The sequence below is a fragment of the Homo sapiens genome, chromosome 6 (assembly GCF_000001405.40).
Source record: "Homo sapiens chromosome 6, GRCh38.p14 Primary Assembly".
Taxonomy (NCBI): Eukaryota; Metazoa; Chordata; class Mammalia; order Primates; family Hominidae; genus Homo; species Homo sapiens.
This window is the reverse complement of record NC_000006.12, coordinates 112,185,406-112,213,116: the sequence shown is the minus strand read 5'-3', so window position 1 is coordinate 112,213,116 and position 27,711 is coordinate 112,185,406. Positions and strand designations below refer to the sequence as shown.

Below are 27,711 nucleotides of genomic sequence, written 5' to 3'. Positions count from 1 at the left end.
TTAAGCATTAATTTGTCCATTAATTTAATTCACCCAGATGAACTTCCAGCCTACCCTAGGCACAATGAGAAGGGAAGCAATCCAATATATTGAAGGCTAATTTGTTTCTTATTAGTCTCAGAGCTTAATTAAAACCCTATTCAGGAAAACAAAGGTATTACATCTCAGTTTCTGCAGACACTAGCATTTTCATGATTTTTGAACTCTATTTTATTACTGTGTAAGGCAGAAATCAACCATATAAGTCCCTGTAAGACTAAGGATGTGTGATCAATAAACCAGCATATTCATCAGGTGTCGAAGAACAGGAAGAAACTGATTATAGAGACTTCTTGTTCCTGTTTTTCTTGCAACTGTAAATTGGTATCTAGATCAAGTGCATAATCCTTTCATGAAAACTTTGACAATTTTTCCATCTGTTGCAAACCTGGAAAAATTTGAAATTTTGGAAAGCATCATCAGTTTGGTTCCATGATAACTGAAGTTCTGAAAGAAAGTCAGAAAGTTTCGTGTCCAAAGGATTCTAAGGTTGGACAGCTCAATGGAGTCCCCTGTTGCTGTGTGCCCATCAACATAAGAATATGACAGAAACTGGCCGGGCACGGTGGCTCAAGCCAATAATCCCAGCACTTTGGGAGGCCGAGGTGGGAGGATCACCTGAGGTCAGGTGTTCGAGACCATCCTGGCCAACAGGGCAAAACCCCATCTCTACTAAAAATACAAAAATTAACCAGGTATTGTGGCGGGCGCCTGTAATCCCAGCTACTTGGGAAGCTGAGGCATGAGAATCACTTGAACCCAGGAAGTGGAGGTTGCAGTAAGCCAAGATCACACCACCGCATTCTAGCCTGGGCAACAGAGCAAGACTCTGTTAAAAAAAAAAAAAAAAATGACAGAAACTGAATGCAAGTAATGAGTTATCTATACATTGTTCATCCTTTCTCTCCCAACCTGAACTTGGTCCTCCCCATATACTCCTCACCTGAGTTGGTGACAGCATTACTCTGCTGGTCCCCCATGCTCCATCGACCTCCTTTTTTACCTCCCCAACCATCAGTTTCACATCATATCCTACCAATTCAAACTAGGAGAGAGCTCTCTTCTATCCCTTCCCACTGCCTTAATTCACAGCCACAACCTCCCTGACCACTGACACAGCTTCCCAACAACTCATCATCCATCCCCTGCTCCAGACTCTCCTTCCTCTACTCTGTCTCCCACACAGCAATGGAGACGTCTTTCAAAAACACAACCCAATCAAGGCATCCCACTTTCCAAAATCCTCCAGGAGTTTCTCCTCCAGCCACACTGAGCACACTGCCACCTAAACATACTTTGTTCTTTCACTCTCTTGTGCCTGAACTTGTTCCCCTGTTTTCTACCTGAGATTTCTTGAAAGACAACTTTAAGGCTTAGTTCAAATGTCACCACCTCCATTAAGCCTTCTCCAACTTTCTCAGGAAGAGCTAAAAGCTGCCTTTCCCTCATCTTTGTCCCATAACAGGTATGTACTTTCTGCATACCTCAGACATAGCCTTCACACACTGTATTGTTCTTTGTTGACCTGTCTCTTTTCTTCACAAGTCTGTGAGTTACTCAAAGGCAGGAACCAGGTCTTCTTCATTTTAATAACAGATATGGCTCATTGTCTATTATATCTGCTTAATTCAGGTTTGTTAAGTGAATGAATGAATAGGTTACTAAAATAACAAGCTACCCTAAATGCAAAAATCTTTAATTTTGTAATTTATGAGATACTTGGGTCACTTCTTTATGGTACTGTTATGAGATACTTGGGTCACTTCTTTAAGATGTACTGTCTTATGCTAGAAACTGAGGCTCAGGCCCAACCCTGTATGTAACTAGCAAACAGTGCTGCCAATATTAGGTATTTTTATTTAGACCCTTGCTTGTCAGAGTGTAATCCAGACCAGCTGCATGGATGATATTTGGGAGCTTGTTAGAAATGCAGACCCTCAGGATGCAGACATCCTGACTCATAATCTGCATTTTCACCAGATCTCCAGGGGATTCACGTGCACATTGAAGTTGGCTAAGTATTGATCTACACAGAGAGCAGTTTGCAGACCTTATGATCTCATAAACCTTTACACTGTTAAGGATTATTAAAGATACCAGAGAGCTTTTTTTAATGTGGACTATATATACCAATATTTACGGCATTTGAAATTTAAACTGAAAAATTTTCTAATCCTTATAAATTCATTTGAAAATAGCAATAATATACCAATTCCATGTTAAGACAATATGTTTTTATCAAACAAACATATTTTACAACTTGAAAATATGTTTAATATCTGGCTTAATAGAAGAAGATGGATTCTGCCATCTGCTTCTGCATCAATCTGTGTGATATCTTGTGTTGTGTAGCCTCTACACAATTTCACCTTACACATATGAGAAAATGAGAATGCAAAATATAAGAAACATCTTAGTATTATTTAGAAACAGTTTTGACCTCCCTGGGCATACTTAGAGATCCATGGATCTAGTCTTGCATAAAGCACACTGACAAACACAGGAAGGCTAACCAGATTCTTTTGAGCCTTCTTCCTACATTATTCTGGTCCTGTGACCAAGCACATGAGAGATATCATTTCTCATGTTGGGGAGACACAGTTGGTGTCCAAATGGCAATCCCAACACTTATCTGCAATCGATTATCTAGATATAGCTTTCTTAACCACTGGCTAAAAGTTCAGAATGCTAATTTCATTTTTAAGTGGAGTCAGTTTTATTAAAAAATGAACTTTTCCTCCTGTATTAATCCATTCTAACACTGCTATAAAGTCATACCTAACTGCTGTGTCTATGGAGTGGCCATTCTTTATTCCTATGCTTTGCCAATAAACTTGCTTTCACTTTACTCTTTTGATTAAAAAAAAAAAAAAGACGTACCTGAGAATGGGTAATTTATAAAGAAAAGAGGCATAATTGGCTCACTCTTCTGTGGGCTGTACAGGCTTCTGCTTCTGAGGAGGCCTCAGGAAACTTACAATCATGATGGAAGACAAAGGGGAAGCAGGCACATCTTCACATGGCCTGCAGTGGGAGGTGGGGGAGAGAGAGAGAGAGAGGGAGAGCACAAAGGGGGAGGTGCTACACACTTTCAAACAACCAGATCTCAGAACTCTATTACAAGACAGCACTAGGGGAATCACGCTAAGCCATTAGAAACAACCCTCATGATCCAATCGCCTCCCACCAGGCCCCACCTCCAACACTGGGGATTAAAATTCAATATGAGATTTGGATGGGAACCCAGAGCCAAACCATTCACCTCACAACAACATACCTTTTTTATTGTTGTCATATTTGTTTTCTGTTTTTTAAATGCCAGAGCACTGAAGGTAAAACAGAAGACATTTTGCAATCTCAAAGTAAAAAATTATCAGAGCTAGAAGAAACCTGAAAGGCCATCTAGTCTAAATCATCACTTTGCAGATAAGGGAATAGAAAACCAGGAAGGTCAAGAGACTTGTTCAAAGTTGACCAGCTAGAAAGTGGAAGAGCTAGGGACCTTTTCTCCCTGCCTCCAGCACTCTGTCTGCCAATCTCCCAGAATGTGCATTGAAGCCTTTTAGGGAGTTTCATAATAAACCTTTTGAAAGAAGGCAGATGAGGAAAGTTCATACTTGCATTCTGAGCAGTTAGAGGGCAAAAGAAATTTGGTGGCTTTGCTTTTGAGGGTCACTGCTTCCCATGGCTGCCATGGCAGAATTAAAGCCCTGACAAGGAATCTAAAGCATCTATCGAGCCATAAGGGGACAGAATTGGGAATTAGCTCATTTTTGCAACACAGTAGTCACTTTGGGCACAAAGAATGGCCTAACATCTTACAATGGGCCTGTTTTCTTCTGCAGAGAGGGGCTTCATCCGTCCAGCAAGAACTCAGACAAATTTAACCCCAGCCTACAAGCAGCCCTGCCAGATTGTTTATGGCTTAGTTTCATGGTAGTTGGGTAAGGCTCATTGGTTTTTCCTGGGATGAGAGATTGCTGCAACTTTGTATTAGCTTTGGGTTCATGTTAATTTCCTTTATTTGCTCCAGACACAAATTCATTAATCCATGCTTTTCCCTTTTCCTTCATTTTTCCCCAATAAATATTTCCAAAGACTGACTTAGCACAAGACACAGTATTAAGAACTGTAAGGGAAATATGTTAACATCCTGTTGTCTGCATATCATACTTTATTTTTCAGAGTTTCTCATTGATCTGTCAGGCAATCTGAACTAGCCCCTAAATTCTACTTTGCAGACATAATTTTAATCAGGGACTAAAGATTGCTCATACCTAATGGCTGATCAAATGCCTGAAGAACATTCAACCGGGATAGCTAGTTGCCCTTATTAAGATTCTTCCCCTTTGACTAATGTATTAATATTATATTTCAATTGAAGCTCAAAGTGTTAGTAACACTGATGCCTTCTAATGCATTCATTTTACTACTGTTTGTTAAGCCTTTTCTTCAACATTACTGGAGAAGCAGTATAATATGGAAACTAACAAGTTCACTTCTGGAGCCAGATTTCCTGAATTTGAATCTCACTTTTGACACCTACTATCCGTGTGACCTCGGGCAATTTGCTTAATCTTTCTGCACCTCCATCTCTTCAGATGTAAAATGGCAGGGGTGAGGGTGGCAGGGGAAATAGGAACCTACTTCAGGATTGTTGTGAGAATTAAGTCAGTTAATCCATACAAAATGTTTAGAGCAGGGCCTTGCTATTCTTTTATTCTGAACCTCAAATAAAGCATAAAGGCCAAAATAAGGACCTCAGAGTTCAGTCTACTGCTACTCCATCTTGCTTTCCCAAGGCTCCTCCACTGTTTTAAAAAAGTTGTCCTGTTGAAGCTCTTATGCATCGGTGTGACTAAGGCAATTGCTCAAATAGGAGGGTGCTTCTTCAATGACATTCTAACAGTATAATTTTTCACTGCAACCCCAATTCAACCTTTATACACTCTGATGAATGTAAAGATGAAAAAAATAGAGCTAATGGCTTTGCCTTGTACCACTAGTATAGTCCCATAGAAGAAAGCTGTTTGTGTGTTAGCTCACTGCCCCTTATAGAAATTAATCCATCAGTTTGACAGTTACTGAGTGCCTACTCCGTTCGAGTTAATGGCAATACAGTGCTGAAAGACACAGAGTTGGGGAGGGGTGATGAGGCTGAGAATAGATAATAGCACTACAATATGGGTAGTGGAAAAGAAGGAAGGATCCTGAAAGGGAGAATTAGGATGTACTTTCAAGAGATTTTGCAGCCTAGTGTGATCTTGAATGATGAATGGCATTCCAGACAGAAGGGTCAGCCTGCTTTGTGCTTTTACTCCTATAATCTTTACTACAAGTGGGAAAATCATACAAAAAAAAAACCTCCTTACTGATTCTTCTATGTCACTATCCAAGATACCAACCCATGAGCAGAATGCTCTTTATCTACCTTCTACTCCATTTATACTACAGTCTGACACATTTTATCCTTCCAAGACCATAAATCCTTATTGTTCCCATTGCCATGGATAAGTACCAGGGGGATGTTTGTTTGTTTGGTTGGTTGGTTGGTTGGTTTCTCATTTCATATTCATTCGAAGTCAATAAGCCAATATTTCTGGAACATCCAGGGTTTGATCATTCTGATTATCACTCTGAACTGAAATAAGTAACTGATGAATAATCTCCTCTGCACACAAACTCTAGAGTCCCCAGGCTACTAGCACACACACACAAAAGCCCAGGAAAAATTAATTCACCACTTACCCACACTTTCTGGCATTGACTGGGGCCAGTGTGACTCCTCATGCTAATCTGTACTGCCGCATACAGTCTGTGCTGTCTGATCTGATGTCCCTTTTGCTTGAAAAAGTATTGCATGATGCTTAGATGTGCTGTCTCTAAAATTTCTTTCGCATCCTTGTCAATCTTCTTGTCTTTTGTCTCATAGCACTGCCAGCGGAACACAACAGGAGAGCACTGTGAAAAGTGTCTGGATGGTTATATCGGAGATTCCATCAGGGGAGCACCCCAATTCTGCCAGCCGTGCCCCTGTCCCCTGCCCCACTTGGCCAAGTAAGTCCTAAAGGAGGATGGTCTCTTCTAATGATCAGTCTATGTATTGTTTTGTTTTGTTTTGTTTTGTTTTGCCTTATCCCAGAGTTCTGAGGTTTCTCCACAGGCAAAACCTCATATTGAGATGAGACTGGAAAAGATATAGAAAAAGTTTCTAGTCCAAATACACCACCTGGAATGCTTAAGCACTTACAATATAGATGATGACTGTGTTCCCGAAATATTGGGGTGCATCATGAGGTCAATAAAGTCTCCTAAGTTTTATAAGCAAGGATAGTCTCATCTTTTCTTGACTTTCTCTTGACCTAGAGCAATCACAACTGGTAATCCCAACAGACTCATTATAATATCATATTTTCAGTAATATTGCCTCTTCTGACTTTCACAAAGGAAACATTTCCCTACATATGGCTTTTCAGTCAGAATTAGAACACAGATCAACAGAATGCATGCTTTAGGCCAATCAGCTCACAGAAGATTTACAGGAACACTTTCTGGCTACGTTTTGACCTGAATGAGTAGTTAAAGGAAAGAGACATACATTTTAATGGAAATAATGGAATATGTGTAAATCCAGTAATTAAGTCATCAATGGCCATTTTATTCTCTTTAAAATGACAGAATATGGAATTTAAGAGGTATAGTGATATATGGTTTTCCAAATGACCAACTCTCTGACACCAACTGGGTGTCCTACAATCAATTCAGTTCTGACACTAAGTTTCCACAGTCAGTGCAGATCCCACAGATTAAGAGATCAGTTCCACAAGAATGCCCCCACTACAAATGCCAGCCAAAAATGGGGTCCCCAGGCTAGTCACACTTCTTCCCAGAAGACTGTAAATTTGAGAAGGATCCCTCAACCTCTCCTCAGGTTTGACAGTTCATTAAGATGACTCACAGAGTTTAGAAAAGTGCTATGCTTATGACTGTCAGTTTGTTAAAAGGTTACAACTCCAAAAGAGCTACATGGAAGTGATGCATAGAGCAGGATATGGAGAAGTGGGAGTGAAGAAGGAGTGCGTGCAGAGACTCCAGGCTCTCTGCTGGAGCACCATGCTCTCAGCACCTCCACGTGTCACCAACCGGAAGCCCCCCAAGCCTTGTTGCTCAGGAGTTTTTATCAAAGTTTCATGTTGTAGGTATGATTGGTCAAATCATTGGCCATTGGTAACTGAACTCAATCTCCAGCCTCTCCTCCCTGGAGGTTGGGGGTGGGGAGGGTTGAAATTCACAACGTCCAATTACATGTTTGGTTCCTCGGTGGTGCCTCTGGTCATAGGCTCCCACTCTCAAGGTATCCAGGGGTCCACTGTGAGTCACTTCATTAGCATAAACTCAGATATGGTTGAAAGGTGCCTGTTATGAATAACAAAAGACAGTCTTTTCCCTCAGGAAATTCCAAGAATTACAGGAGTCTGTGCCAGGAACCAAAGGCTAAATACTGTTTTTTTTATTATGCCACAAGTAGAAAGAGTAGCCAATCTAGGTTCATATTCAAATTTGGACACATAATACCTGTGTGATCTCAGAAAAGTTACTTTCTCCCTAGATCTCACTTTCCATGGGATTTGAAGTCAAGAAGCCTGGGTTCAGATCTTGGCTCTACTCCTTGATTCATTTACCAGCCCAGTATTTCAGATTTTCTCCTTAGTACAGTAAATCAAACTAGGAAGTAAGGATCTGCATCATAGAGTTGTGAGGACTGGACTAGGATAATATGTGTGGAGGATTTGGGTTTGTACCCTAAACATGGAAAGGCATAAGGTAGATGTTGCCTTTACTGAACACATACCGCTATATTTTTTCTAACACTTGGATTTTTCTTACTCTATGCCTGGCATTGTTCTAAGTGTTTCGATGTAATATTTACGTAATTGATAGCTGTTGTAAAGATTAAATGATACACATAAAATGACTTTTTAAAATCTGAATGCTTACTACACACACGCACTCACTCATACTCACACACTTACTGATAAACAGAAAAGAAAAAGACAGATGGCAATCAGATTCCCCCGATGTTTTTTCCTTAATTGAACACCAATATCAACTAACATTTCACCTAATAGCTTGTGATGTATTCAAATACTACAAGTCTAACAGTCAGAGTAGTCAGACGAGTTTCAGTCCCATCCTTCTTCAGAAACTGTTAAACTGCCTCAGACCTTGCTCTGTAATTTTTCATGTATGATAGTATTAATAACATGTGCAAAAGGGATGGTACTCACAGTGAGGGTAGAAAACGCAAACATTAACTGTTCTGTTATTTTCACTCAAGTATGTCCTGATTTATGAGCTCCCTTCACTCCGTCTTGGTATACTTTTTCATTGTTCATTAATATTCTGCTCTCAAGCATTCGTTTTAATCACGTCTGGTGAGATATTTAGCACAGTTCTCTTGCCATGGTATATATTGTTAAATATATTACCTCCAACTTCCTCATAGCTGGTTTCACTCATTCTCTCATAAACATGTTGTGTAGCCTCATCTGCTCAGAAAAGGTTTATAGGCGTCGAGCTGCAGTGTTTGTTTTTTTTTTTTTGGCAGTAGCAGATGAATTAGGCAGGCAATCTCAGATGGTTCTTTCTAATTATGCTGTTCCACTTTTGCACTTTTCACCCCATTTGCATGACAAGACTTTCTTATCTAAATTACCTGGTCTTGGGATATGAGACCTTTAGAACATCATTCCCTATGGACTGAGAAGCCTTGTCTACATGCAATCAGATATTTATCGAGCACTTATTATACACTGGTATAAAAACTGGTAGTCAGTACTTATTATGTGCCAGTCATGCACTAGTCACTGGTGACACAGCAGTGAGTAAAACAGTCAAAAATCTCACCTTTATTAAGATAGGTCAAAATACAGCAGTGTTTTGAAACTCCTAGAGCAAATGACCCTTTACCTTTTGAATCACAGTATCCGGTATGTTAGTTGAGCAAGAAGCGTTTCTGAATGCTGTTAACTCTTTAAGAAATGAAGTCAAAAGTTGCCAACTGTGGAATGAGTCTCCTTTCCTGAAAGAGGAAACAGTTTCCAAAGGCATCAAGGCACCATGTCTGCCCATGTTTTTTCTCTGTGTAAGTGGATCCAGGGTTCAAAGGAGCACTGAAGGGACTTAGAGAATGTGCTCTAAATCTAGATGCATATTCACAGACACGAAAACTCAAGTCTCTAATAGTACAGATTCGAGGTTGAAAAACCTACTGAAAACGAAAATGAAGTAAAAAGTGTGTCACCTATAAGTAAATATCATGTAGGAGTAGGGAGGAATTGGTAAGGGTGTGAGAGACCAAGGGATTTTACAGATTTTTCTCTGTAGTGACAACAGCTCTACTTCTTGAATCCCTTGCTGGGGAAACTGGCTGCAAAAAAGGAGAGGAGGGGTTCATCTGTGGTCATGGAACAGAACAAATATTCTTGGGTCCTAAAAAGTTCTAACCTTTGATCTGGACTTATTATTAACTTAGTTAGCTAATCTCAAATACTAATCAAATATCTTATCAAAAATCAAATGCCCATTGCCTCTTTCAGCTTTTTAAGAAATTCATATTGCTACTTTCTATAAAATGAAAGTTCCAGGACTTTTCAGAAAGGCGTCTAGTTTAGACTCTGAATTACATTTTGAAACATTGATGAAGCTGAGCCCACAGACGCAGGATTTGGATTTCCAGTTACAAGAAAGCAAGGAAATAATGCTTCAGGGGATTAAGCAAACAAAGGGCCGAGTCTATTTTTCTCTAAGTTCCTAAGGATTTTCTAAGAGCAAAAGGCACCCTTCCACTTGAAATGGGCACCACAGTGGTTACAGTGGGCTGAGAGAGACGCAGTGTTTTCACTTCCCTAGCCAAAACCAGACAAAACATAAACAGTTAATGCTGATGAGAAACAAAAACGAACCCTTGAGGGCTGGCCCTGCCACCGAGTCTGCCTTCGCCACAGAGACCAGTGGTCATGCAGTTGTTCCCAGGGACCATTTGCATAATGTTCATGTATTTATTTGGGGGTTGGCCAGACGTCCTCCATCTCTACCAGTAGCTATGGAAATCGCTCCAGTTAAGGAAAATGTCATCTGTTTGAAACAGCAGGACACCAGCTACAGGCGGATGACTCCAGATGCCCCTAGCAGATGTTGCATGCTTCAAGCGTGGGCAGGCTGCTGGGTGGAACACCTTCAAAGAAAGATGGAAGCGCGGGTTCCTGTTCTGGACTCTTAACTGACAGTGGTTCTTTAAGTAGGCTAAGAAATCAGAACAAGCAAAATAAAGGGTAAAAGGCCAAAGAAATGTAATTCTGTTGGAATGTTTTTACCCAACTGTTTGCGAAAATAAATTGTGGGTGTTGCCTTTCACTGAGAAGCACATATTGTTTTCTGACTGATTTTTTAAGTGTCTTCAAACAAATAAACACATCTATTTGCTTTCCTCCAAACACCATTAGGGTAAGAAATGCTGATACATAAAGGAACAAGAGAGCAGCGGGTCACACTTTATTGGTTGTATAGTACCAAAGCCAAAGCTAATTTAAAAGTCCTTAAAATTTTACATACACACACACACACACACACACCCCTATGCCCCACACAATTCATGTGTCTATGAAGAATTTTCCAAACACGTGGAGACCATAACCCCATTTCCCTTGCCTTAATAGTGAGGAGACTTATGTATTCCACTAAACCAATATTTTTATTACTTTTTTGTCCTGTGTCCTAATTTTTATTATCTTTAAAAAAGGAAGAAGAAGAAAGAGAGAGGGTTCCATGGGATAAAATCCTTTTATGGTGGGTCCTATGTTTTGCTGCAGTACTTGACTGGGACTTTCATCGACGCAGCCAGTCTCAGCAACCTTATTTCCAATATTTAAAGTACACATGAAAGAAATTATAATTCTGTGGAGATTATATAGTTTAGAACTGGTTCCTTCCCTTTAAAACTGGACAAGTTCTAGTGCAGAAAAAAAGGGGAAACTTTTAAATGACTACATAGACAGTGATGGAAATAAAAGGGGATTCTCTTATAAATCCAAAATTGCAGGTAGAATTTGATCATTTTATTTCCAGCTTTGGGATACATGTTTTGGACTAGTGCTTGAAATATATATATAGGACCTGGGAAATGGTCCCACCAACAAGTGGCATTTTCTTTTGGGGCCTGCTAGCCTAACCTTTCCTGCAAGGTAAATGTGTACAAGTTTAAATAAAGAAAATGATTGCACCCATTAGAACTTTAATGGGACCAACATAGAGGTAATCTGATAAAAAGTTAAGACAGTCTCTTTGGTGATGTATGGAATTGACTTCCAATATTTGCTTCCAATTTTAGTTTTGCAGAATCCTGCTATAGGAAAAATGGAGCTGTTCGGTGCATTTGTAACGAAAATTATGCTGGACCTAACTGTGAAAGGTAAGCCAATAAAATTCTCTATTTTCTGTGTGGGTCAAAGGAAGCTTTCTGTTTCTCACACTCAACAGCTCTGCCATACTCCCATTCAGTGGGTCCTGAAGGAGATGCTTAAGAGTGGTTGAGGGACTGCATTTCAAAACCCCTTAGGGAAGTTTTCCTAAATCCCATCCCCCAGATACAGCAAATAACAATATGCTTCCTAGGGCTTCAGGCCAAGGCCACATCTCAGGATAAGCACACAGGGAAAAAGGAAATTGAGGATGTGTATTTTGAAAAGATTCTCTAGATGGTTTTGGTAGTACTCTTTTCTCTCTCCATCAATGAGAAATAGTACTAAAATTAGTGTTCCCCAGAAAAGAGTGAGGTTTCCTCAGTAAATAAAATGTGAATCACCTTTTGTCAATAGAGCAATAAATTAGAAAAAAACAACCCACAAAGCTGTTATTTCGCCCATTCTTTATACCAGCTTTATACCATACTAAAAAGTAAACAAATTCCACAGGAGTTTAGGTTTTCTGGATCTCTGGCTGGTATTTACATATGACACTCTTTTCTTTTTTTCCTTTTTTTTTTTCAATTATATTTTAAGTTCTGGGATACATGTGCAGAACGTGCAGGTTTCTTACATAGGTATACACGTGCCATGGTGGTTTGCTGCACCCATCAACCCGTCATCCACATTAGGTATTTCTCCTAATGCTATCCCTCCCCTTGCCCCCCACCCACTGACAGGCCCCGGTATGTGATGTTCCCCTCCCTGTGCCCATGTGTTCTCATTGTTCAACTCCCACTTATGAGTGAGAACATGTGGTGTTTGGTTTTCTGTTCCTGTGTTAGTTTGTTAAGAATGACGGTTTCCAGCTTCATCCATGTCCCTGCAAAGGACATAAACTCATCCTTTTTTATGACTGCATAGTATTCCATGGTGTATATGTGCCACATTTTCTTTATCCAGTCTATCATTGATGGGCATTTGGGTTGGTTCCAAGTCTTTGCTATTGTGAATAGTGCTGCAATAAACATATGTGTGCATGTGTCTTTATAGTAGAATGATTTATAATCCTTTGGGTATATACCCAGTAATGGGATTGCTGGGTCAAATGGTAATTCTGGTTCTAGATCCTTGAGGAATCACCACACTGTCTTCCACAATGGTTGAATTAATTTACACTTCCACCAACAGTGTAAAAGCATTCCTATTTCTCCACATCCTCTCCAGCATCTGTTGTTACCTGACTTTTTAATGATTGCCATTCTAACTGGTGTGAGATGGTATCTCATTGTGGTTTTGATTTGCATTTCTCTAATGACCAGTGATGATGAGCTTTTTTTCATATGTTTGTTGGCCACATAAATGTCTTCTTTTGAAAAGCACATGACACTCTTTTCTCTCTTTTTCTAAACTGCTCTGGGCTTTGCTCATGTAAGAAAGGCCTTCTCCACAGAGCACGAGAGGCTTTCCACTGAATGACTCGGTAAGATATTTCCCATTCCCTCCACCTGCCAGCTGCTCGCAGTGTTGTAAGATAAAATGGCTTTTGCTCAAAGAGTCTCTCAGACAGGTTTTCTTGTTTTTAACAGAAATGCCATTAGCATTGGCCTCACCATTGTGTTTAGGCAGCTAAACGATATGTAGTGCCCTAGAGACAGGGAAGGAAGAGCCAAGCGGAAATAGTCAAGCACCCAGTCACTCATCTGCAGGCCCTCAACAGCACAGATGGGCTCACAAACTCAACCTGGGGCTTAAAATGTAAACTTTAAATTATAAGCAATCTCACTTCCAAAGAAAACACCCTCTATCTCTCAAAAAGTGGGTCTGAAACTCAAAAAAAAAAAAGCCACAGTATCTGTGATACAGAGAAAAATCTTTGCACTTGGAAGGCATTGTTATTATGATTATTAAATATGCAAAATGTGGATAATTATTTCACTAAAGGATTGTGGATTTTTTTGAATTTATTTATTTATTGCCATAAGAGGGAAAGCGAGCTTAGGGTCCACATGAATTTCATCTATTAGGAGGGACTGACAGAGATGATCGATTACATTGGGTTGATTGAAATTTGTGACACACTTATCCTATATTTCCTTACTTGGAGACACAGGAATAGGAGGCACCTGATTTACTCATTTTCTGGCTCACTGGAGGTCTGTGGCGGTTGTTAATCAGCCAGGATGGAGTTTTTTCTCCTCAGTGTCTGAGGTTAAATTCAATTTAGTTTGATAATGACCAAGCAGTATTGCTAATGGGTGTTCAATGGCCCCCACGGGGAGAGTTAATGGCCTTAGATAGAGCCCTGCTGACCAAATGCAAAGCTCGCAGAAGTGAAATCACCTGGACCCTAAGGGCACAGTCCTGTAAAATCACACAGGGGTGCAGAGAAGGGTTCTGTCATCCCAAACCATCAGCAGGACTGCACGCCCACCTCTGACAAGGAATTACAGATGATAAATGCCTCAGCCCACATAGGATGCTCATGAGCTCTGCCATTACCCAGTAAGGCTGGGTCAGATCTGCTGCTGGAGTGGAAGGCTCCAGACAAGAGCACTGGTTTGGAAAGTGAAAGTAGAGTGTTGAAAAGAAGAGATTTGAGCATTAGCCTGGGTGAGTGTGAATCTCAGCTCCACCACTTTGTGACCCACCCGGGCAAGTTCTTTGACCTCTCCAAGTGGCAATTTCCACTTGTACAGAATGGAGAAAATAAAGTTACCTGTCTCATAAAACTGTTATGAGATAATACTGCAAAGTTTTGAGTGTGGGACCTGGCACTGAGTAAATGCTCAATAAGAATTAACAGGTGACAGTATGAGTCATGGTGGTCATTGTCCAACTTCTGCCACTGCCGATTGTGTTCCTGGGACACGTTGGCTCATTTCCCTGAGTCTCGGTTTCCTTAGCTAGAAATTACAGCTCTGAGCTAAATAGTGCCACTGATTAATTATCACTTATGTCCTTGTTGCTTTACATTCTTCATCTGTCATCTTCACAGCCACCTTAGAGAAGGTTGTATTTTGTCATCTTGCAGATGAGGAAACTGAGCCAGAAGAGCTATGTCTTCCAAATTGCGGTGGTCTTTGCTGCTTTTGATTTGTTTGACCCTGGGGTTAAGAGGAGGGTTTCTGCTTGAACAGCCAAGCTCTTAAGTTGCCTGAGTTAACCTTCGCCTAATCTGTGCTTTCAATGTATTTGTGAACTTGAACCTCTCCAAAAGAGCTTTTCTAAATATGCAACTGATTTGTATGGATATCTGTTTTAAACAAAGGTAATAATTAGTCCAAACCAAGAACCTGCTAGGTCTTTTTGCACTTTAGAGATCATTGAGTCAAGTGGTGGTTTTAAAATCTGTGTCCAACTGTCTCCAGGAAAACTTTGGATTCCTGAGCCCTCCCCAACTCCCCTTCACCACCCACTGAAAAAGAATATCCAGGGCTGAGGCCCAGGACCTGTATTTTGACTTCCCGTCGGATTCTCATGCACCAGGACTCTCACTGCTTTGTGAACTACCGCTCTACCTTGACCTTCAATACCACACTCTCATACTAGGGAAGTATTTCTCAAACCGTGACCTAAGAACCTTGGTTGTCCTTGGAAATGAAGGTTCAGGAGTTCTCAGTGAATATTTTCCTAATTTTATGTTTAATTTTAATAATAACTTTAAGGAAAACATTCATTGAAACATGTTCTGGACTTTCTGCTGTGTCACGTTATAATAAGAGAAGATCTCCCTCAGTGCTGGGAGAAAATAACAGAGGTGACAGTCTGTCAATGACACATTACAGACAATTGGAGGTCAAGTGGCATGACATCAAGGCAAACTGTAAAACTAAAGATTCCAAAATGAAAATTGGTGAGAGACATGAGTCGTCACATGGCACATGGCTGGATTTGCATGCTGAACACAGGCAGTCTCTACCACATCATTTTGCAAGTGGACATTTGGTTATAAGACAACATCAATTATTGAATTAATGTGAATCTGAAATTGATTAGTTTCATAGTTTTATTTATGTTGTATTTGAAAATTTATTTTGGTTTTCAAGACATGTAAAAACCATAGACATAAGGAGTTTCTACCTAGCTTCATGTTTGAAATATTTAAAGATAATTTAAGCTAACACTGGAAGGGGTATTACATGAAAATGCTTTTCCTTTTAAAAGGATCCATGTTACATGCAAATTCGCGAAACACTGGTCTAAAACATAAAACATGTTTTACTTACTCTACCTCTTACACTACTGTGTAAAAAAACAGCTCAAACACGCCCACCTGCCTTGTCTTAACAATTAGGTCCATGAATATTGGCCTGCTCTGGGCCCTACCTGTCTTTCCTCCCTAAAAACCTTCTCCCACCTCACACTTTAAACTCCCCGTGTTGGACATGCTACTCACCAAATCCACCAGATCAGCTGGCAAGCTTTCCACATTGTATTGTATTTAGACCATGATCATGATGATAAAAATAATAACATTTATTAAGTACTTACTGGGTGGTATGTCAGGCACTGTTGTAAAAACTTTACAGACAATGATTTAAGCCTCAAAAGAGCCCCAAAAATCCTATGGAATACCATTTTCATCCTTATTTACAGAGGAAGAAATGCGACATAATTTAAGTCACCTGCTCAGAATCACACAATGGCTTCTTTATCTGTGAAACTATGAGCTGCTTGACAGACACAGCATCATATCCCTTATCCCTCCTCTGTCTATTCTTCCCTCAGCACACTATCTGGCATGTTGAAGGCCTCAGTTGTTTTTATTTAAGTAAAAATATTTTTTCTCAATAAGAAATAGCAACAGCACTTTTCATGTTCCTTTAAAAAAGGTACTATGTAGTGACAGGAGTCAGTCATTCCTTGCCCTGTTTTACCCCCAATCTCCCACCCCATTCCAGGAAAATGGAAAGGGTGACCCAGAGTTGACTGAGTCTGGCTGAATAGAGATTGCAAATGGAAGTTGTCTTCTGATGCAAATAATTGTAAAATGCACAAGCCTTGTAGAGTTTTGCAATTCTCATCCTCATCCCAGTAGGAACAACTAAGAACATTTTGAAGATGAGGTGCTCCCTTGGGCAGCATATATACTAAAATTGGAACAACCCAGAGAAGATTAGCATGGCCTCTGTGCAAGGGTGATGTGCAGAATCGTGAAGCAGCCCACATTTTTTATCCTGCATGTTCTCCCACATATGAGGAAGCTAAAAAAAATTGAGCTCATAGAAGTAGAGAGAATAATTCTGATTATTAGAGGCTGGGAAAGGTGGCAGGTGGTAAGTGATGGGGGAAGGATAGGGAAATGCTGGTTAACGGACACAAACTTACAGCTAGATGGGAGAAATAATTTGTAGCTTTCTACAGCATTCTAGGGTGAATATAGTTAATAATTTAGTTTCTGTTTTCAAAAAGCTAGAAAAGAGGATTCTGAATGTTCACAATACACAGAAATGATAAATGTTCTAGGTGATGAGATATTAATTACCCTGATTTGGTCATTATACATGGTACACATGTATGGGAATATCACTCTGTATCCCATAAATATGTATCATTACCTGTCAAGAAAAAAATAAAAGGGAAAAAAATCCTTGCCCAAGACTCACCAGCTTCACCTGCCCCCAAATATATATAGCAGTGTGTGTAGTGTGTGTGTGTGTGTGTGTGTGTGTGTACTTAGTTCATTTAAAAAGATGAGGAACCTGAGACTCTGAGCCATGAAGTGACTTAATCTAACATCACACAATTGGGTTAGCAAGAAATCCAAAACTAAAACCCAAGACCCTCAACGTTCAATACCATTTTCAGTCATATGATCTCAATGTTTCAGTATTCCACACTGCCTCCCATAGCAGCTTTAATAGTATACTTTCATGCATTAAATTTGGTGGTGGAGTGAGAAACATGCTAAGACTACATGATGATTGATCATGTGAATCTTGTTGCTTAAAGATCAGAAGAAAAGAATGGGGCAAATTAAAGCAAATCCAAAGTGACTTAAACCCCTAACAGAAAAGGCAGAACACAGTATCATCAGAGATGAAGATGATAATCATAATGATTTCAATGATGGCCTTGATAATGGAAAAGAAAAATAAGGAAGAAGAACAAGAGAAAGCTAACCTTTATTGAGGTTTACTGTGATGCGGGGATTTAGTCTAATTCTCTCTGAAGACATCAAGTTTTTCACACGTAGACCCTGTTGTTTGCATAGAGTTCTTATGATTCCTTACTCTCTAGCTTGCTCAACTCCTGAATTCTTGCCCTGTGACCCTGAATAGGTTACATACGTTTTCCTAGCCTTATTTCTCAGTCTTTCATAAAGAAGTGGAGAGCATTTACATAGCACCTACTTTGGAACAAGTTCTTTTTTTTTATGTCATTTTATTTAATCCCAAAGACAGCTACAGAGTGACATCCCTCCCAGAAAGGTTTCTGAGCCACCTAGCCCAGGAGTTTGGGCACTCTTGACAAAGACTTTCAGTGCCAGCTGTATAGCCCTGGGAGGAGGAGCAGAAGAGAAAGAGAAAGGGCAGGCAGAGCAGGGGGAGCTTCAAGCATTCCTGAAACAGTTTTTGGTCAAAATAATCTTTTTTTCTAAACATCATATCTTTTGGTTTTCCATTTTGCCCAAATAATAAAATCACTAACCAAAATGACAAAGTTCATATGCCACAATCCTTTCATTTGAGCCATAAACTTACCAGTTCTGTTTTCCTTGGATGGATCAAGTCATTAATAGACTAGAAATGAGATTACGGAAGAAAAAATAGGACCAGGCTACTGGGCACCAGGGCTCCAATGCTTACTCTAAACTCAAATACTGGTGCTTTTGTGTCTTTGTTGTTAGTTCTTTGAGGGCAGGCTTGGGCACTTTTATAATCACTAATTTATTAATTAGTTCATTCTTTAATGCTAGACTGCTGGAGTGGAAAGAACATTAAGCCTGGAGTCCCACAGAGGTTTGAGCTATGCAGCAATGAACAAGTCATTTAGCTTCTCTGCCTTCTAGCTTTCTTATATATAAAAGTAGGGGTTTGTCAGGGACTATCATAAGTAAACTTTTGTATGCTCATTTTGTTAAATCCATAGGGTCCAGAGTTTTGACTAAAACTTCAGAGTTTCCTCTAAACCTACCACCAGAAGATGTTCTTAAGACTCAGAGTAACTCAAAGTAGGTTTCCACTGTGATAGAGATTCCAACTTACAGAATAGAAAATTTGAGTTTTCTCTTGTAAAAGACCAGGGGACCTCCTATGGAGAGCAAATGCAGTGGAATTAAATGAAAAAGTTACTGGCATCTGACCTCTATGAGCTTGGGCAAGCCCCTTCACTCCCAGACCTTAAGATTCCCAGCCACACATTGAGCTGGTAGATCTGAGTCTCATTTCAGTCGGCCAAAGAGCCTAATATTCTCTGTTTGGTGAACTTCAGCAAAGGCCAGAAATTCAATCCAGCCACAAGTTCCATAGAGGAATAATTTATGCTGGCTTAGGGACCTGCAGGCCTATAAATCTGAGGTGCAAAGACATGAGAAAGTGCGAATAACAACACTCATTGAATATTTCCTCTTGGGGTGTCTCTTTGTGGGTTGTGTAGAATTTACATTCATCCCCATCTTTTTCATAGACCAGATTTCTAGAGTTCATATTCTGTATCATTATGGTTAATTTATTTCCTGTTCTTTCAGAGAATGGGCTATGTGTTTTTCTTCATCCTGTCTCCCTCTATGTCTTACATAAAATGGACATGAATTGTCCTTGTGTTGGATGAATCCACTCATTCATTTATAGCAGCAGCAGTGTGGTCCAGGGTGGAGCAAAAGAAAGAACTCCAGGGTCAGAAGGTTTGGACCTTGCACTGTGACTTTCCAGCTATGTGACCCTGGAAAACTGAAGTAGCCTCCCAGAATGCCAGGCCTGTGTGGCCTCCCTCCCAGGGTGTCTGTGGTAACTAAATAAACTCACATAGATGAAGCTATGAGGTTCGATGCAGGTAAAGAGTTTAAAGACTGACCATATCCTATCACTACAACTACACCAAGAAACTGAGACATGGGAACAGAGGCTGAAGGAACATACACAAAATGTTGACAGTGACTTTTTTAGGGTCCTGGGATTACAGATGTGATTTTTTTTTATGTATCTGTTTTTCAAATGTTCTGAATCATGATTCCCTTACTTTAAAGGGAATCCTTTAAAAAAAATGTAGTGTTTTATTATTACTGGCCAGGGCTTGTTGATTTCCTTGGAAAGCTCTCCCTTCCTTTCCACTCCCAAGGCCAACACCCCAGCCCAGGCCCTCTATACCCCACCCCATCCCTCTGCTCCAGCCTGAAGTCCATCCTGCATGCTGAAGCCAGCACCAGCTTCCTTCACTACCACTTCCATCATGCTCAAAACCCTTTGCTGGCTCTCTTTCTTTTTCCCTCTCATGCAACAGAACTAACTTCTCTACCCTACCTTCAATCCCATTATGGTGTGACCACATGTTCTTTCCAGCTACTCTCAAAGTGTCTGCAGCTCCAGTTGGCCCATCTTCCACACTAGTTTAGAGTCCACAGCAAAAGAGAGTGCACAATCAGCCAACAAGCATGTAGTTTGACTTGTACAGTACTCTTACAAGGTTTGAATCAACTTTTAAAAATTGCAATTTCACATAAACATCCAAATTTCCACTTTTTTCTCCAAAAATAAAATATGGCAACATAGGTCCTTCATCCTCTCAAGGCTCTAGGCTGGCAACAATCAACTTGAGCCTAGTAACAGCTCTTCCCTTACATGGGGCCTACAGGCCCACCACTCACAGCAGGGCCTCTGCTGCCCTGCACGGCAGCTTTGGGAAAAGTAGGGAAAGGCATTTCTTCCTCTGGGCAGAGACAGCCTCACCTAGAGTGCACAGCTTGGCAAGGCAAGCAAAGGCTAGATGGATTTCAGTCTCCATTCTCCAACTCAGCTGGGCTCTCTCATCAAAGGCCCAGCCAGCCTGACCATAGGCACTGGCTCTGCCCACACAATAAATGCAGGTAGGCACCTGGCCTCTGTAGGTGCGCATATCTAAAACATCCAGAAGAATGGCAGTCTGGGCTCCAACTCCATTGATCTGTGGTACTCTCAGCTCTGCCATCTGCTTTGACTCCAGGCTGGCTTTGCTCAGTTACAAGTTGCTGCCAGGAGCTAAGCGTACTACCTGCTGCCTCTTCCTTCACCTGAAGATGGAGAGAATGCCACCCCATGACCCTCAAACAAGAGCCCAAGCTACACTCCTGAGTCAATCCCTTTCAGCCAGGAGAATAGCAGGCACTGAATGGCTCAAGCTTAGTTACTTAAACAATTCATTGTGACTAGACTGATCAATGTTTCTCAATAGAGGTGCTATTAACGTTGTGGCTAGGACATTTCCCAGCTGTACGCTACAGGTACATCTCATTGCAGTACCTTTGGCATATCTGGTCCCACCCATCATATATCATTTGTGTACACCAGTTCCCTGGCTGGATATACCAGTTCAATCCTATAGCTGGAAGCCTGGCTGAACTGAATGGCCTACAGATGAAGTGAACCAAATGATCTATAACATAATGGGGAGGGGTAGTTCCTTAAAAACGAAATCTGGTCCTATGAAGAAGATGAGAGAGTGCAAATGAATTCTGGGAGGGAAATCAATAAATATCCACTACATCTTTCTTCTTTGTAGGAAAGAAGATTAAAAGGAAGAAAAACCATGATGCTAAATATTTAAATGTGTGATATTCCTCTTCAGATGTGCTCCCGGTTACTATGGAAACCCCTTACTCATTGGAAGCACCTGTAAGAAATGTGACTGCAGTGGAAATTCAGATCCCAACCTGATCTTTGAAGATTGTGATGAAGTCACTGGCCAGTGTAGGAATTGCTTACGCAACACCACCGGATTCAAGTGTGAACGTTGCGCTCCTGGCTACTATGGGGACGCCAGGATAGCCAAGAACTGTGCAGGTGCAGTATCATAAATACTAAGCCAGCTGCCTGGCCAGCATGACCCTCTGCCAATACTGAATTTAGATGAAGAATTTCTCTTGGGGAAGTATTGTGAGTGCCCCCTTGTCACTTTCCCAGGGCAATGTACATTCTCAGGAATATGCATCCCAAACCCATCAGGGATAGAAATTTTTATCAAGGCTACTAATATAATTTTGCTCATGGGTGGAATAAACTAGGAGACACAAACACAACAAATGAACTTTTGTCTTAGCATCTTATATCCTTCTAGTTTTAATCAAAGAAATAAATCGGACTTCTATGGATTACCTGCCATTAACCAGGAGACTGAATGAAATCTTGCATGGTTCAGGCCAGGCATGGTGGCTCACTCCTGTAATCCCAGCACTTTGGGAGGCTGAGGTGGGTGGATGGCTTGAGGCCAGGAGTTTGAGACCAGCCTGGCAAACATGGCAAAACCTTGTCTCTACTAAAAATACAAAAATTAGCTGGGCATGGTGGTGGGTGCCTATAGTCCCACCCAGCATCCCTTGAACCCAGGAGGTGGAGGCAGAGGTTGCCATGAGTCAAGATTGTGCCACCGCACTCCAGCCTGTGTGACAGAGAGATTCTTCTCTGAAAGAGAGAAAGAAAGAAAGAAAGAGGAAAGAAAGAAAGAAAGAAAGAAAGAAAGAAAGAAAGAAAGGAAAGAAAGAAAGAAAGAAAGAAAGAAAGAAAGAAAGAAAGAAAGAAAGAAAGAAAGAAAGAAAGAAAGAAAGAAAAAGAAACCTTGCATGGTTCAAATCAGTTTTCTTATTCAGAGGGCTATATCTCTCGTTCAGTTATGTTTGGTAAAATCAAGATTTCCATAAAATAGATTAGCAAGTCAAGGGTACCATTTAATCACCACCATCCTCCAATTTCCTCAAATTATAAGAGGTAAATATTTCAAAGATAGCATAGAAAACTTTCTGGTTAGGCTTCAGTTAGACTGAAACGCACAGATCTTATTCATCCATTTGCCACATAGAGTGAAGCTCTTCAAAAGTGAGGTGACATTGCTTTCCTCTAAGAGTACAGGAAGGCTGAGATTGAGTATGTCTTACTCTTATGTGACTTTGAGGGGAGAGTGGGAGAGCAGGAAATATTGTACTCCTGTGGCATGCCTCTATAAGGAATTCTTTCACTGAAACAGATTTCCACTTGAAAAGATTCAAGGAGTAAGGAGTTTTAAATAAAAAAAATGCAACATATATGTTCTGCAGAAGTCACAATAAAAGTAAACATGTCTACAAAAAAGCAATGTGCATAGAGGCATAACACTGAGAATGACAGCAGAAAGGAAGGAGCACTGTGTCTAGTCAGGCTAAAGAGAGAGAAGGCGGACAGCAGAAATAATGTTGGCAAAATCAAAGCCTGAAAGGTTGACATCCTGATTCTCAAAACATTTACTAAATTTGTGTTTAAACTATAAAGATGCAGGTCACTCTTGGAAGAGAAGCTAATTTTAGAAGCAATAAAGCATGATCTTGCTGAAAGATTTAATAAATCTGCATTTTGTGGAACATTAAACAGATGAAATGTAATAAATAGATCTCCCATGAACCTGGTTTTTATGATTATTCTGTAAAGACAGTTAAGAAGTGGGGGGAAATGCACAATTCTATTCCAGTTAATTGCTAGCATAGATGGTAAGAGAATTCCTCTTTAAATATTACAAATTAGTTCCCACCCAGAAACTCAGTGGAAATTGAACAGTCTGATGAGATTGGGCTTTTGTTTTTGCTTTTTCCAAAAGGCATTACAGAAAATCATCAGTAGATGAATAATGGGCTCCCACGTCTTCTAAATTCATGTAAAAATGTTCCTGATTCCTTGCAGCACATTATTCTTATTGCACTCATAGCTGTCATTTGGAGGTTTGGAGTCTGTCTTGCCAAGGGTCAAGCGCAGTGGGAGCCAAGAATCGCTCCTGGGCCTCCTCACTCACTCCTTGCTAAGCTGCTCCTCCCTCACACCTGGCAATGATCAACCCCCGAGTTAAATTAAACTGGAGTATCAGTCTGCAAGGAAGGGATGGCTTTCAATTTCCAGTTGAATGATGAGCTCGTGGTCATTTAGTATCTTGTGAAACTTACCAGGACATTTTTGGACTAAAGCAATTGCACTGTCATGTCAGAATCCCAAAGAGTTGGGAGAGAAATCCTAGAAAACTTAGATTCAATTTTGCCCAGGGTCACCTTTGAAAATCTCATTGGGCTGGAGCTTAATCGGATGAAGGGCGTAATCTCTGTATCGTAGATTCTACACAGTCTGAAGGAAGAATGTAATTAATTCCCATTGATGAATTATACACTGATAGCTAGTGTTTCTAGAAACCAGGAAAATATTGCCATATTTTAAGCATTAAGAAGTGCATTTCTCGTCTCTTGTTTTTGTTTCCCACAGTGTGCAACTGCGGGGGAGGCCCATGTGACAGTGTAACCGGAGAATGCTTGGAAGAAGGTTTTGAACCCCCTACAGGCATGGACTGCCCAACCATAAGTAAAAATAACAGTACATGATTGACTAACCCCACTTTCTCTAATGTGCTGCAGGTGTGGGATTAAGAAAAGCTATGCAATATCACTCTCTAGAAACTGCTGAGTCCCACCCCTGGACTTAACCCTTTCTGCACCTCAGCAAATGGAGCCTGCACCAAGTACTTGGTGGTCCACTTGATTCCCTAGGGCAAATGGGTGGTTTACATTTGCATAGCTCTATTTTATCCAGTCTTTACATTCAGAATCTTACCTAATGGCTAAAGGCAAAGTCAGAAACACAACTCCCAGTGACAGAGCTCTTTTCAGCTCCTTTTCCTATATCGTCTCTTCAGGTCCCTGAAAATACGACGTACAAACAATTTACAACACCTGGGGAAACTGAGATACCAAGAGATTTAAGTGGCTTCTCCCAAGTTACCTCAAATCTGAAGTGGGAGCAGAAGTAAATATTCAGGCTTTACAAAATGGAACTGCCTTTTATCTCTCCTGGTTTTCTCTGGCTCTCCTGTTAATTAAATCATGAGGAGTTACACTAGGAACAAAACTTTTGGTTTAAAAACTATTTTAATAGTAGGCATCCCCTCCCCCAAACAGATGTATCTTGGTCTCTCAGTCCCTCGGAGCAGACGAGATTAACCTTACCATTGGATTACATCTTAGAAGATGCCATAGGATGTGAGGCACAAGTAATGCCAAGTTTACACCCTGATTGAACAGGTGGCCCCTAGACAAGGCCAATTTAAGAACATCAAGATGCCTGCCTGGTCCTAAGCATCTCCCCCACCAAGCCTGAAGTACTGGCTGGGAATCATTCCCTTGAGAGAGCTTATAAGTAAAACCATGTTAAACTTCAAATAACAAATTAACATATTAACAACCATTAACACGCCAGTCTCCCTTTATCACGTCTCTAGAAGAGAGCACCATCTGAGGGAAAGAGATCGGGAACAGGCACGTTGCAAAAGGTGATCAAGGCAGTTCTGAAACACAGAGTGCCATCCTTGTGAGTGTGTCACAGGAGGGCCCTGGGTTCTGGAGGTGATGACAGTGGTCAGAGGAACTCAAATGTGAAAAGTGAGAAGTGATGAGGAACTGGGACCTGCCTCCCCATGTGCCCACGTTCAGCCTGAACTTTGGTACCCTCATCAGATGTCAGGAAGCGACTCTCGCAGCGATAACCTCAGACCTCCCGGTGCTGAAGTGTTCATCCTGCCAGGAAGTGGGGCTGTGAGGAGGAGCTGTGCCCTCCCTGGGGTGGGGAGAAGGCTGGTGCTAGCCCCTGAATACTGAGAAAAGCTAATAGGAGAGGAGGAGCGTCTAGCCAATAGCCATCTTCACTAGCTAATGCCAAGCAAGATACTAAAGCCTGACAAGAATAGAATTACAGCTCTTCATGAGACAAAAATAAAAATGGTATTAACCAAGGAAATAGAGATTTATGTTCTGCTAAAACGGCCTGCCTTTAGCATGCTTTTGACTTGTGATTCTGAAGAAATGTTTCACCTCCAGGCTGTGATAAGTGCGTCTGGGACCTGACTGATGACCTGCGGTTAGCAGCGCTCTCCATCGAGGAAGGCAAATCCGGGGTGCTGAGCGTATCCTCTGGGGCCGCCGCTCATAGGCACGTGAATGAAATCAACGCCACCATCTACCTCCTCAAAGTACGCAGGAATGTTCTACTTTCCACTCTGTTTTCATCCTGGCTTCACAGGCCCGCAGCTAGTAATTCCTTCTACCCCTTTTTGTATCTGAGTCTCATACCTGTATTACAGGTTGTTAGACCTGTAGGTCTAACATAGAAAACATAAGTAATTTCATAGGAAATTATGAAAAGTTGATTGTAACTATGAGCTTGGGCCAAAACAAGAACTACTGTCTACAAAAGAGGTTATATGGGAAATGAAATGACTAAAAGACTAGTATCTATGCCCAAAACTACTGAGGAAAGAGAAACACTTATTTCCTTGGCGCAGCCATACATTACTTGTTTAAGTCATTACCACAAAAGGTACTGCAAGGCTACCATTTCCTTAGCCTTAATTTGCAAGGTTTTGAGTTTGTCTAGAAGCATCCTTCTTCTTCTCTGTCTCTCCTCACCCCACCACCCACCCACCTTTCCTTCTTATTTACACACATTCTCTCTCATTTTCTCATACTCACAGTCAAACGCAGACATTCACACACACCTTGTTTCTCCTCATAGCTCTACTGGTTAATACCTAGTAAACAAGTTAAAAGCAGCCAACAGATTAAAAAACAAAAACAGTAATACAGTTGGCCCTCCATATCCACAGGTTCCACATCCTCAGATTCAACCAATCACAGATAGAAAATATATTTTATAAAAACAATAAAAAATAATGCAACAATTAAAAAAGAAAAATACAGTGTAACAACTATTTACACAGCATTGACATTGTGTTAGTATTATAAGTGGTATTATAAGTAATCTAGAGATGATTTAAAGTATTCTGGAGGATGTGCATACATTATCTGCAAATACTAGGCCATTTTGTATCAGGAACTGGAGCATCCCCACGGGGTCCTGGGACCAATCTCCCACAACTACCAAGGGATGACTATATAAAGGTCCTTGTATAGCTAAGATTTACAAGTTTTCTTTCCCACTAAATCATGGGCTTCTATCACAACAAAAGGATATTTTTAAAATAATAATCATTAGCTGAGGGAAAATGGAATTCAATACCAGCACATTGTTTTGCTTTGTTAGTCAATTTAGGAAAATGATTGAGAGCATGGACGTTGAAACTAGGTTGCTTGTATTCAAATCCCAGCTCTGACACCCACTAGCTGTGTGACCGTAGGTAAGTTATTTAACCTCTATAATTCCTCAGTTTCCTGAATAATTATTGCCTCTATCTCATGAGCTGTTGAGAGAATTCAGTGAATTGATATATGTACAGAAGTTAGAACAGTACCTGGCATACTAAGTACTCATTGCTTTTTGGAGGTGCAAATGATATCCATAGCAGTTGGCCAAATATGTAAAGTGTAAGCAAAAACAAAAATTGTATTGTAGCCTGGATAGAATCTTGGTGTGAATTTTATTCTAAACTTTGAAATTGTTCTTGTCCAAAATTACCTGTTGGAACACATGAAGACACTACCCCCCAGGGGAGTCACCCAGATCCAGGCCTCCTGAAACCACTCAGATTCTCTTTCCTCAAAGGCACAACTTCAAGACAGGAATCATTATGGCAGACAGGAAGTCAGTGTCAAGATTGAAGGGCTCACTCCCAAGTAATCTCAGTAAAGCCGCATTTAGACCCAACTCCTCGAAAATGAAAAAGGAGAAAGCCAGGGGTCTGAAATAAAGAGACTTGCATTAAAATGAGGAAAGTTAATTTCTATACTCCATTTACATCAATACTGATGGGTTGGTCAGTTCTTCCAGACCTAACAAAATTAAAATTCTAAAGCTCAGACACCCAGGGCCACCACCAGCCTATATTGTACCTTTGTACAAATTAGAAAAAGGAGCCCTTTCCCCATGGTCAACCCAGCCCCTGACCAGCATCCCTGGTCTAGTGAGTGGAGCTTGCAGAATTTTAGCCCCTAAGGGCCTCAGTCCCCTCTGCAGACCCCACCCTTCATATCAGGCTGCAGCAGCCTGCGGACCCCACTATTTTGAGAAAAGAGCCTCACACTCTACTCTGAGTCCTCTTACACTGAAAGAGTTTTATG

At 40.7% G+C, this 27,711-nt stretch overlaps 1 protein-coding gene and 1 pseudogene across 9 annotated transcripts in view, besides 3 other annotated features; both read left to right on the top strand.

Moving 5' to 3' along the window:
- LAMA4 (laminin subunit alpha 4) overlaps positions 1 to 27,711 on the top strand; it is a 147,055-nt gene that overhangs the window by 41,869 nt on the left and 77,475 nt on the right. For 5 of the 9 annotated variants that reach the window (XM_047418769.1, XM_005266984.5, NM_001105206.3 and 2 more), the window contains exons 4-8: positions 5,972 to 6,096; positions 11,429 to 11,509; positions 21,267 to 21,481; positions 23,912 to 24,007; positions 25,516 to 25,667. In XM_047418769.1, coding sequence (XP_047274725.1) covers positions 5,972 to 6,096; positions 11,429 to 11,509; positions 21,267 to 21,481; positions 23,912 to 24,007; positions 25,516 to 25,667 — 669 coding nt within the window. The remainder of the gene's footprint in view (positions 1 to 5,971; positions 6,097 to 11,428; positions 11,510 to 21,266; positions 21,482 to 23,911; positions 24,008 to 25,515; positions 25,668 to 27,711) is intronic. The other 4 variants (XM_047418770.1, XM_017010854.3, NM_002290.5 and 1 more) reach the window with 1 other exon arrangement.
- Positions 8,681 to 9,880: an enhancer, noted in NCBI's record as "P300/CBP strongly-dependent group 1 enhancer chr6:112524438-112525637 (GRCh37/hg19 assembly coordinates)". NCBI's record gives its function as "activates an origin of replication core promoter dependent on BRD2, BRD4, P300/CBP, MED14 and CDK7 cofactors, with strong dependence on P300/CBP, by STARR-seq in HCT116 cells {active_cell/tissue: HCT116}" and the evidence as "EXISTENCE:reporter gene assay evidence [ECO:0000049][PMID:35650434]".
- Positions 13,388 to 13,890: an enhancer, noted in NCBI's record as "OCT4-NANOG hESC enhancer chr6:112520429-112520931 (GRCh37/hg19 assembly coordinates)". NCBI's record gives its function as "activates a minimal SCP1, AML or CMV promoter by ChIP-STARR-seq in naive H9 embryonic stem cells {active_cell/tissue: H9 hESC(naive)}" and the evidence as "EXISTENCE:reporter gene assay evidence [ECO:0000049][PMID:30033119]".
- Positions 13,891 to 14,394: an enhancer, noted in NCBI's record as "OCT4-NANOG hESC enhancer chr6:112519925-112520428 (GRCh37/hg19 assembly coordinates)". NCBI's record gives its function as "activates a minimal SCP1, AML or CMV promoter by ChIP-STARR-seq in naive H9 embryonic stem cells {active_cell/tissue: H9 hESC(naive)}" and the evidence as "EXISTENCE:reporter gene assay evidence [ECO:0000049][PMID:30033119]".
- Positions 16,571 to 16,677, top strand: RNU6-1226P (RNA, U6 small nuclear 1226, pseudogene; annotated as a pseudogene).